Raw genomic sequence first — 12,288 nt, forward strand, 5'->3', positions numbered from 1 at the left:
GCACATTTAAAATATGTAAGCTGCATGATGTCAGATTATGCTGTGATTGTCTTACTAGTACCTTAAGGACAGACCATATGCCAGTGGGTGGGTAGATTAGTACCTCTTAGAAGGAAGTGGATCTTTTCACCATCATTCTGGGAGTTGATCACACCTAGGCAGGGGATAAAGACTAAGGAAGTGGGCCTTACCTTTATGTCTGGATTATCCTTCTCCTCTCTCTGGGTAGGTGGCCAATATTGTCCAAGTTCCAAAAGGCAGAAATTCTCTTGACATCTGAAGGAGGATGGAGAATGAGGCAGGCAACCAGCTTCACAGGGGACCCTAAGACCAGTCTAGAGGGTGCTATACTACTTCTCCCCCACTCACTGCCAACTTCCAGTAATGTCTTGTTAAGTTGTTCCATGCCTAAGTAATGTCTTATTAAATTGGTTCCTGGCATCAGCTGTCTTATGAGATAAAGGGAAGAATCTGTCTCACATTGGTTGGAGAAACAAAAGAAGAGGAGCTCCCCTTTCCCTCTCTTTCCCAGTGAGGCTGGGATGGGTTACCTGCAGTGGTCACAGCAGAGCAATGCTATGCTCAGAAGCATCTTGTGAAAGTCACTTGCAGTAGTAGCAGCAGGGTAGAGAGAACAAACCAGACTTGGGAAAGCTCAGGTGAACTCTGAGAGGCCCTGGATCCCTGGAGAAATAGTGGGGGACAGTTAGAAACAGAATTATTCCTGGCAGTCAGGCCAGGGGGTTTTGAAGCTCTCAGGTTTACTCATTAAAAATAGATGTGTTCCGGCCAGGCGCAGTGGCTCATGCCTGTAATACCACCACTTTGGGAGGCCAAGGCAGGCAGATCACCTGAGGTCAGGAGTTCAAGACCAGCCTGGCCAACATAGTGAAACCCCATCTCTACTAAAAGTATAAAATCATCTGGGCATGGTGGTACATGCTGTAGTCCCAGCTACTTGGGAGGCTGAGGCAGGAGAATCACTTGAACCCGGGAGGCAGAGGTTGCAGTGAGCTGAGATCACACCACTGCACTCCAGCCTAGGAGACAGGTGAGACTCTGTCTAAAAAAAAGAAAAGAAAAGAAAAAAAGAAAAGAAAAGAAAGAAAATAGAAGTGTTCCAGATAAAACTCTCTTTATAATATTGTGGTAGTGGTAAAAAAATTACCTATTTTTTCCAAGGCAGCATGTTGTTTAATGATGAAATACAAAAAGCCTTCCCAATAATGTGAGGAAATGGTGCCATTGTTTAACATATGTAACTAATATTGTTTAAGTACTACCCAATTAAATAAGAGGAAATAAATGTATAAAACAATGAAAAGGATGAGCCAAAGTGATAATTATTTACAGATGATATGATCGCATAGCTAAAAGAGAGTCACATAGAAAATTATTGGAAACAATAAGATAATCCAGTACAAAAGCTGGTTATTAAATGCAATAATCAATAACTTTCCTGTATAAAAACAAGTTAGAAAACATAATGAAAAAGTTCCCATTTAAAATGGCTTCTAGAATAATAAAATACATTAGAATAAAAATAACAATAAACATGCAGAATATATGTAACTGAATCTTGATAAAATGAAATGGCATTCCCTGTGTTTAGATAAAAAGACTAAATATCATAAAGAAGTCAACTTTCCCTAAATCAAATGATTAATTGAATGTAATAGCAACAAAAATAAGATTTCTTGGTTATTGTTGAAATCACATATGGCAAATAAAGATATTCATTACGCAACTATTTTAGCTGCAATAGACTAGAAACAGTCTGAATGTACATCAATAAGACACTGGTTAAATTGTGGTGTATTCCCAGAAGACAGCCTTGTATTCTGCCATTTAAAAAGTAAAGGAGATCTGCAGGCCTGGATATGGAATAATATCCAAGATATGTTGTTAAATAAAAAGATCACAATTTATATCTACACTATATCTATCCATATGAAATAAATGGCATCATAATGTATCTATAAATATGTATGTCCATATAAATTAGCATGTTTCCTTATTTGTACATAGTTTTCATAATTGTTATCTTTAATGGCTATATGAAGTGGAGTCCTTTCTGTTTCATAAATCTGTCTGTCCCTAGTGCCTATTATAATGTTCAGGAAGTCCTAATGAGAGCAAAGAATGATGCTAAGACTGTAAATGCTGGTGCCAAAATACCTCAATCCAAATGGGAATTTTTTAACCTCTGCGCCTTAGTCTTCTGGCCTATAAAATGGGGATGATGACCATTTTTACCTCATAGGTTTGACATGAGAATTGAGACAGATTAAGTGAGATTACAGATTAAGTGGGTTAATCTGCATAAAGCTTTTAGAGCAGTGCCTGGTACATGATGAGCAATCAATCAGCATGAGCTATTATTATTACTGTATGAAATAACCTTAGAAACTTTAAGTCATTTCTTGTTATGGCTGTTATAGATAGTAATGCAATGAGTAGCTCTATTAATATAATGTTTTGCCTCTTTTTAATTATTTCATTAGATTAAATTCCTAGAAATTAGATTGCTGGATCAAAGAGTAATCACAATAATTACCTTTTAAAGATATTCCTTTGACCTCTTCCCTTAAAGAAAATTTAATGATATGAAAATTACTAGTTGATATAAAAGAGAGAGTAAAGCAAATAAATCATGTATTTATTTGACCACAGCAAAAGGGAGAGGAGCTCCCCTTTCCCTCTCTTTCCCAGTGAGGCTGGGATGGGTTAGCCATTTACTAAACAATTATTTAGTAAACACCTATTTTATTCATAAAACTATCTAGACATCATACAAAAACCCAGGGTTCCATTCAGTTGATTAAATCCAACAAAGATTTCCCACTCTACTACATGCTTGTTCCATGCTGGGAGTTAATCAGAGTAGGAGGAATATGGAGTGGCCTTTGTCCTTAAAACTCAAAATTTATGCAAGAAAGTAAGATGTGAAGATAGTATGAGACTCTATAATCAAGCGCCAAATTCCGTTTTTAAAAGATCCCAAATCTGTGATTCAGACACTGGATATTAGGCATAGTAAGCTAAGCAAAAAAGAGTAGGTGCTGGCTGGAGCCACCTGGCAGACGTCAAAGCATTTTCAAAGACAATATCCAGTTAGCAGCAAAGAAAGAAGTATGTTACCACAAAAGTGATGACCAAATTAGGCTCTACTCTCTTCTTAGAATCTAACATTTTATAATTACTTTTAATCCACCCCCAAATCAACAGGACAGCTTTGCATTTGAATATTATCAGTAGAAAATCTTTGCTCTTGCTAAAGCACATCCTCGTCCCTGCCAGCTGGAAGGTAAAAGGAACCCTCAAGCTTCAGCTGTGGGCTTTAGCCAAGGGAGTCCAAGAGGTGTGCTCAGGAGTAGACGAGGCCGGTAGAGGGCCTCCACTGAGGACTGTGCGTGTTTATCTGTTTCGGAAGGGCTCTCTATCTGCTGAAAGAGCAAAATCATCTCCACTTCACTGTTTTCAGGATGCAGCGCAAATGTGTCTTACAACAATCCAAATCTCACACCACAAGCTTTACCACTCTTCAGTCTTCTCTCTTTTGTCTTGGAGTCAGGAGGAAGGGGGCAAACTGCCCTCCTCTTTGAGGCGAGCAAGATCCTCTGTCTCAAGGAAGCCAAACCTGAAATAGAAGCAGAAGCCCTTTCATATAATTGAGGAAGACTTCACAGTTGCCAGAAACCATTTTTGTAAGAGAATAAGTCCCACATAAAGGGTTTTCTGGCCTTTAAAATTAGCCCACCAAATATCTTTCTTGTGCCTTATCCAGGAATTTTTTTTTTTTCTGCTGCCGAGGCTGGAGTGCAATGGCACAATCTTGGCTCATTGCAACCTCTGCCTCTAGGTTCAAGCATTCTCCTGTCTCAGCCTCCTGAGTAGCTGGGAGGCCGCCAACACACCTGGCTAATTTTTGTATTTTTAGTAGAGACTGGGTACTGGGTTTCACCATGTTGGCCAGGCTGGTCCCGAACTCCTGAACTCAGGTGATCCACCTGCCTTGGCCTCCCAAAGTGCTGGAATTACAGGCGTGAGCCACCACGCCTGGCCCCTTATTTAGGAATTATTAAATTGCCTACTATGTGCAGAAACTTGTGAATTGTCAGGCTCCAAATTTCCTCAAAAGGCTGAAGCCTGGCAGGCAATGTCAAGAGGAGCTGCTTCTTGCCCAAACAGGTTCCAAAGCAGTCAAGTGAAATTGTCTTCCTTATATGGTGAAAAGTGCCCTGTCCCTTTAAGGCCAAGAGATTTGGCTGCAGACAGTCCCTGGGAAGTTTGCGGGCAGCCCCATCCTGTGTCTGATCCTTGCTGCTGTGCAGGTGAGTTCCCAAACCTTCTCTCCGCAATTTGCCCTCTATAATCGTTCTCATGGCGGGTTAGAAAGACTGGTATGAAAGGGCTAGAGAATTTCAGGGTCAGCAGAGATGGTGCTGTTTGGAGAAGTTTGAGTTGAAGGAAAAAACAAGGTTACAAGGGAAATGTGCAGTAATGCAGCCAGTGAGGATGCATCTAACTTCCTGTGGGGAGAAGGCAGCAAGGTTACAGAAGGCCCTGAGGCATTTCCAGGGCAGGGCAGGGCAGGGGAAACAAATTCAGCTGGGGAAGAGGGACAAATTATAGATAAGACCGTGGAGGGATAAGTTTAGACTCTTGAGCTATATAACCTGGTGAACCGCAAGTTAAAACCAAACATAGCTGGTAGGAAATACTGCTTCTGCAAGTGCTGAAGGCTTTCCAGGAGCTGGAGCTACAGGACCAGACTGCAGAGGAGAAAGTACATGAATGTTTGGAATGTCTATAGGCCTGGAAGGCTGCAGCCTTAACCCTTTTTGCAGCCTGGCTTGTTAGCCATTAGGGTTTGGCTGCCACAGAGCAGGAGGTGGGGGTGCATGTGTGAAGCACTGCAGTAGGAGACTAAATAAATAAACAAGACTATGATTGTGGAAATGCATCTCTGGCATCCTCATAGTACCACATGCAGAGAAGAGAGATTTTCTAAGCTCAGATTTTCTGTGTCATCCACAGAAACATCTCAGATTTTCTGTGTCATCTTTCTTCCAGCAAAGGGCTGGAAGAAATCTCATTTAAGCTAATTACTGCTCCGTCATTTACTAACTCAGCTTCTTGAATTTTTTTCCTCCATGGTCTGGAGCCTGGTACAATATTAATTTGAAATTAACTAATAAAACTTTTTAATAGCTAAAGATTTCCTAGCAGAAATGTGTTTCTCTCTAAGATTGAGATGTATATACAGCTGGGGTTGGGATTTTACTGAGAGCTTGAAAAGAGATGGGTGTAGTATAGAAGGAGAAACACTTGATGGTCATTTTACGTAATATCCAAAGCCGTTTAACTGAGCCTACAGCCAAAAAAGGAGTCCACCCAGGAATTTAAAAAAAGAGATGCTAAATTACAGGGCTTGGGGTCCTCTTTCCTCCTAGTTGAGTCAAGGTCCATTCATCATTCAGAGGCAGTGGTTTCTCTACAGTTGTGTGGGGGAGTGAACAAGAAGGCTGGATTAAAATTCCTTACATACTCCATGCCTTTTAAAAATATTCATTCATCTGAGTAGTCACTGAAGAATTCTTCTTATTATTAACTAACAAGTGCTCTATCCACTTGTTAGTGCTTTCTAAAGACAGAATGTTCATGAAAAAAGATTTTGTTTTATCACGAGGGATTTGTTAGTATAAGGGTTCCTCTCTTCTCCTCCGACTTCTGATGGATGGGCAAAGTGGTGATTATTGGTTACTGAAAAGAAAGATCTGTTCTTGACTCTAAAATCACAAAGGGCTTTACTTTGGACCTTTCTCATTCAGAAACATTGGTGTCCCAAGCAAAAAGTTAACTTATGCATTCACAATGTGGAAGACAGCAGAGTGCATGGGTATAGTTTTGCTTCATTTTGTACCAAGCAAATCCAGAAAGCAGTGTCAAATACATTGCTTTCAAATATAGATGCACAAAGAAAAACAAAATTCTATCCTTAAAGCTGAAAAATCTCTAAAAGTACCATATTGTTATTATTATTATTGTTTACTTTTTTTTTTTTTTTTTTTTTTTGTGAGAGGGAGTCTTGCTCTGTCGCCCAGACTGGAGTGCAATGGCGCAATCTCGGCTCACTTCAACCTCCGCCTCCCAGGTTCAAGCGATTCTCCTGCCTCAGCCTGCTGAGTAGCTGGGATGACAGACACGTGCCACCATGCCCAGCTAATTTTTGTATTTTTAGTAGAGACGGGGTTTTACCATGTGGTCAGGCTGGTCTCGAACTCCTGTCCTCATGATCCGCCCACCTCGGCCTCCCAAAGTGCTGGGATTACAGGTATGAGCCACAGTGCCCAGCCCATACTGTTATCTTTTATAAGATAAGTCAAGGTATTTCCAACGAAAAAAAAGATGTGTCTTCCCAAACATTTCACTCAATGACTCTCCCCGCCCTCAGTCACATATGGATCTTACAACTTCACACAAGCCACTTACTTTATCTGTGCCTCAGTTTCCAGCCTAGAATTGAGCAGATCTGAGTTAAATTTCTAGTTTCTTCATTTATTTCCATAACCATAGGCAAATTACTCAGCCAGTCTAAACTTTAGCTTTCTTATTTGTAAAAAGAATGAATGTTAATTAGGATCAGAAGACCCCAGAACTCGGCATAGGCTCCATAAATGCTATTTCTCATTTCTTTTCTTGTCTTTTTTTTTTTTTTTTTTTTTTCTATTGCCTGGGAAATTACACTGTTCCTTGGCAAAGGAAATAAGTTTTGAAAACGGAAACCAGCTGTGTAGCTCAGCTTTAGGACTACAGTTACTTCATCCCCTGTGCCCATTCCCTTCACAGAAGGATGCCCAACTCACTGGGAAACCCATTCCTAATCATCAACCAGTCTCACTGTTTGAAAGCTCTTCCTAAAGCAAACCCACTTCCACTTATTTTGTGTTCAGAGACGTGAAGAATTGTTGATTGTTTTCTTTTAATATAAAATTACTCCATAGTCTTAAAGAACAATAATAAGTTATCTTAGAATCTCTATAAAGGTGGTCTATTCCAATAATAAGCTTAAAAAGCATTTTTAAAGGAACTTTTTTGGTTCTCATAAGGCACCTCTTACAAGTATTTCAAAAATAACCAATTGCTACTTTTTTTTTTTTTTCTGAGATGGAGTCTTGCTCTGTCGCCCAGGCTGGAGTGCAGTGGTGTTATCTCAGCTCACTGCAACCTCTGCCTCCCGGGTTCAAGTGATTCTCCTGCCTCAGCCTCCCAAATAGCTGGGATTACAGGCACCCGTCATCATGCCTGGCTAATTTTTGTATTTTTGTAGAGATGGGGATTTTACCATGTTGGCCAGTCTGGTCTTGAACTCCTGACCTCAGGTGATCTGCCCGCCTCAGCCTCCCAAAGTGCTGGGATTACAGACGTGAGCCACCACACCTGGCCCCAATTGCTACTTTTCTATAAAACTCCTAACCCATTCACACAGCTGTCTTCAAGAACATGATTATCCTTACTTTCAGCACTTTCATTGTTTAGGTCACTTTAAGAGTAGGTTTGCCTTACTTGCAATGAGTCTGTGTATGACCCAAAAAAATTCTGTCACCAGTTTAGAAAGGTGGTGACAAATTTCAGCAACAGAAATATTCCACTGGAAGTTCACATCCCAGCCTATACATAAGCTGGGAATCAAGTATGCCATTTTTAACTAAACGAAGAGCAGGTCACACACATAGCCCATCTTCTAGTCATGGATTAACACAGCCTCTGTCAGGAGACGTGTTGAGAGTCCACACTTGTCCACTTAAAGTAGCTTTGAAACTCTGGGCTAGTTCCTACATGTGTCTGAGCCTCGATCTATGGCCTGCATAATGAGAATGATAATAACACTTATGCACGTGGTTCAGGGAAAGCATGAAATGTGCCAGGACAGGTGCTCAGTAATTATGTTGGATCTGAATGCCCAATAGTCTAACAAAGTCTTGTACCTTAATAATAAGGTAATGGCCCCAGATCTTGTCTACACACTTTAGAACAATCTGCAAGTATGGATATGTTTCTAAGGATGTGTAAATTTAATGTTTAATAAAAATGTAAGTTATGTTTCTAATTAGGTGGAATCAAAAAGAAGTCGATGCTGAGGCAACCATAGACCTGCTACAGGGGTTAACTGTGGAAACAGCCTACAAATGCAGATGTGGCTTAAAAGCTGCTGGTTCTCAAAGAGTTTTGGATTGGCTGTGTTCCTTAAAAATATTTTTTAACTTTTTACCCCAAGGCAAGTGTTTCTGTGTCTGGTACACTGGCAGAAGGAGTTAGAATGGGGGAAAGCATTAAACAGATTGAAATGAGAGATCCTAGTGCAGTTGAATCTCTTGATACATCTTTGACTCCCTTCTTCCCCAACTCCCCAACTATTCTCCTTAAGCTTTTCAGATGTAATTCATTCATGAAACCACCAAGCTGGGGAAGCTTGAACAAGTCTACACCAGCTTCTTGCCTTCATTCAAAGCTGCACTTGAAACAATCAGGAACCATGGCTACCTACCCTTCCAAGGGAGAGAGACTGAAGTTCAGTCTACTGCATGCCTGCACCGGGGCTGCACTGGGGACGTTCTCCCCACACCTACCCTTGTAATACAAGCCCATATTCTTTTTTTTTTTTTTTTGAGACGGAGTCTCGCTCTGTCGCCCAGGCTGAAGTGCAGTGGCGCGATCTCAGCTCACTGCAAGCTCCGCCTCCCGGGTTCACGCCATTCTCCTGCCTCAGTCTCCTGAGTAGCTGGGACTACAGGCACCCGCCACCACGCCCGGCTAATTTTTTGTATTTTTAGTAGAGACGGGGTTTCACCATGTTAGCCAGGATGGTCTCTATCTCCTGACCTCATGATCCGCCCACCTCGGCCTCCCAAAGTGCTGGGATTACAGGCGTGAGCCACCACGCCCGGCCAAAGACCACATTCTTTTAGTGTGCTCTGGGTCTGTCCTTTGTGTTTATGGCAAATTGATATCCTGTCTATGGGAAATTTCCACTAAAGTGGGGAGTGATGATATGGTCATAGCCTCTGTGAGGGGCAACACTTCCTTGTTTTCGGCCTGATTAATCATCAGGTGAGTAGACATCCTTCTCCCCTGACTTTATCACTTCTATTATCCACTCCTGCTTGCCCCTCTGATGCAGTGGCTCCCAAACTAGAAAGCATACATCAGAATTACCTGGAAGCTTTGTTAAAACACAGATTGCCAGTCTCTATCCCCAGAGTCTCTGATCTGTAGGTCTCGACTGGGGCCGGAACACTTGGAATTTCTAACAAGTTTACAGGTGGTCTGGGGCTACACTTCAGGAACTGGTCCTCTAGTTCAACAATAAATCTCACTGTAGTGTTCCCAGTAACTTGTACTTACTCTTGCCTTTCTATATAATACCTCTTCCATTTTTGGAGGTGAAGTATAGCCATCTCACCACAGTTATGTGCTACTATTATTGAATTCTAATTGTAACAGGCACTGTGCTAAAGACACATGTTATTTCAACTACAAATTTGGTATCATTAAACAGAAAGAGGTTAAGTAACCAAGATCTCACAAGTGATAAAGAAAAGATATCAAACTCAGATTTATGTGAAAAGTGTTTACTCTTTCCATGATTCCAGGGCTGGCAAATAGATTTTTAACTTGTCTGTCAACTCCAATTCATTGGCAGCAGCTGCCTGGAGCACTGGATTGAGGAGTCCCAGGTGGGATGGGTGCTCGGTGGGAGAGAGCTCTAGAACTGCTAAGCTACACTGCACGGGTGCGGGAGTGGAGAGCGGCAATGGGTATGTGTTGTATTTGCTGTCCCCACATGATGCTTTGCCTTGTTCATTGATCAATTTTGTTAGGACCTAGAATCAGTTGAAAGACATGTATTTAAGTTTGTTCCAGAGGAAACAATAAATTTATTTCCTTGTCTCTTCCTTTCTCTGGAAGGTAAAGTTAAGTTTTTGAGCCTATATTTGAGAAGGTGTAATAAACTATAAAGTGAAATGAAATATTTATGGTTTTTGTATTTGTGTCTAATGCATGTTTTAACATGATTGACACAATGCATTTTGTAGGTATTTTTCTGGAAAAGTCAATCTTTTAGAAATTGTTTTTCAGATCTTCAATAAATTTTTTCTTTAAATTACAAAAAAAAAAAATAAAGAAATGCAACTGGTATATAGATAGTAGTAACCAACATAAGCATGTTGCTCTAAAGTGGCTGGGACAAAAGAGTTATGTTAATTATAGTCTTTGCATATTATGTCTTTCAATGTGACCTATCTAATGGATTGCCTTATATTGAAATAATCCAGCATGACTTAGTAAGAAGGTAATGACATTTCTAGTTTAGTTCCTCTCTCCATGTTAATATTCACTGTGGGACTTGTTATTTTTAGCGTCTTAGTGCTTTATATGAACAATGAATTAAATAATGTTTTTCTGCTGCATCCTAACATTTATTATAAATGTGATTAAATGACATATAACTTAATGGCATCTATTTTATTTGATCAACAAATATTTACAAAAATGTATCCCCAGGCAATGGGGGTATAACAACAAACAAAATATATTGTTCTCATGGAACTTACATTCCAGAGAGGAGAGAGAGAGACAATAAATGAGTAAACAAGGAAATTGTATATAGTGATAAAGCGTGTTCAGTGAGAGAGAGAAACTGTGTGTATTTGTGTGCACAAGTGTGCGTGTGTTTTGCTCTTTTTTAGGTGGTCAGGGAAGGCCTGACTGAGGAGGTAAGATCGAATATGGAAAAGAAGCCAAACATGGGTCGGTCTGGGAATGGAGCATTCTAGGCAGAGAAAATAGGCAATGCAAAGATCCTGAGGTTCAAAGTCCATAGGAGCCAGATTGAGTAGGCTAGTAGGGGTTTCAGCTGGGGGTGCTGCAACCTCTCTATTTCTGCCTAGAAGATGTTTGAAGATGTGCAGGTGGCAATTTGCATATACAATGCTAGAGTTGAGGGCAGGACACCATTGGCTTCTAGTGGACAGGGACCGGGGATGATAAACATCTTGCACTGCTCTTGATAGACTCACACAAGATTTGTCTTGCTCATATTGTCCTGGAAAAAATGTCTGTATTGAGAAATCCTAAAGAGCCTTTAAAGCCAGGCTAAGAAGTTTGATTTTTATCCTAAGTACAGTGGGAAGCTATTGGAGAGTTGCAAGCTTTAAAAGACAATCTCTCAAAGATCACTTTGGCTACTGAGTGGAGAGTAAATTGTAAGGGACAAAGGTGAAAGAGGAACATTCAATAGGAAGCTTTTTCAGTGTCCACAACAGAGATGACGGTGGCCTAGACAAGAGGAGTATTGGTGAAGGTTTTGAGAAGTGTTTTTCCTTCAAGAAGAAGGCTGCTAAATAACATATAAAATGCTGTTTCCCATGAAACCTCTATTCTATCTTTTTCTTTTTCCTTGAGAGATTTTTTTCAGTTTCAGAATCCTCTGGTTTCCTCTACATTCATTTAAGAGAATTTTGTGGCACCAAATTACAGAAGACCTTGCTCTTTCAAATGCAAGTCCTTATCTTCTTGCTCTTTAACCTTGCATATCTATCTGCATTTCAAGTTGTTCATTGCTCAGAAAGGTAATCTATTTGATTTGGGTTTGTAAAAAGAGACAAAATTACTTGTGCTTCTTGAATAACAATATGTGATTTTTTTCTCTGAGGGTCAATATGAATTAGCCTACATAAATCATTTTACTAAACCGGTGCCTAATTACATGAACAACTGCGACCAAGTCTACATTTATTCTGTTGAAAGAGTAACATTGAACATCAAAATCTCTTGCAGAGATTCAGGCATTTCAGTACAAATGTTACTTAGGCATTAAAGCCTCACAAATACTTTCCAGGTGCATTGGCTCCTCCCTGACAAAGGCAACTCAGCTTCCAAGACTTCAGAAAATTCTTACTGTTGTCATCTCGTCTCTCCTCATAGCCAACTCTTCTTTCTGCACCTCCACAGCAAGTGGCCCCCAGACTGACCTCAGTGTGTCTCTGCAAATGCAGAGATTCACAAAGCAGCAATGTGGAAACTTGTCAGTTCACTTGGAGAACAACTCAATTCTCATTTGAGGGGAGGAGCATCCTGTCCCCAGGCTGAGCTGAAGTGGGTGGCGAGAAAAGAGTGGGGAGGAGCTGGCTGCAGGCCATACCCACACTGGTGAATGGTTCCACTGAGTGGTAGGTGCCTCTGCAATCAGGATGAGGTCTTCCCCAAAAGGTTGTTGTGTCC

At 40.6% G+C, this 12,288-nt stretch overlaps 2 protein-coding genes across 13 annotated transcripts in view; both read left to right on the plus strand.

The window, feature by feature from the left end:
• Positions 1 to 12,288, plus strand: part of IQCJ-SCHIP1 (IQCJ-SCHIP1 readthrough) — an 828,041-nt gene that overhangs the window by 658,762 nt on the left and 156,991 nt on the right. The gene's annotated exons all lie outside the window — the stretch shown is intronic.
• Positions 1 to 12,288, plus strand: part of SCHIP1 (schwannomin interacting protein 1) — a 624,116-nt gene that overhangs the window by 454,837 nt on the left and 156,991 nt on the right. For 2 of the 9 annotated variants that reach the window (NM_001394284.1, NM_001394290.1), the window contains exons 1-2: positions 4,305 to 4,334; positions 9,707 to 9,821. The exons of 3 other annotated variants lie outside the window; for them this stretch is intronic. The gene's annotated coding sequence lies outside the window, so the exon portion shown is untranslated. Of the gene's footprint in view, positions 1 to 4,304; positions 4,335 to 9,656; positions 9,822 to 12,288 lie in introns of those variants that run through there. 4 more of the 9 variants (NM_001394285.1, NM_001414420.1, NM_001394291.1 and 1 more) reach the window with 3 other exon arrangements.

Source organism: Homo sapiens, chromosome 3 (genome assembly GCF_000001405.40).
Source record: "Homo sapiens chromosome 3, GRCh38.p14 Primary Assembly".
Lineage (NCBI taxonomy): Eukaryota > Metazoa > Chordata > Mammalia > Primates > Hominidae > Homo > Homo sapiens.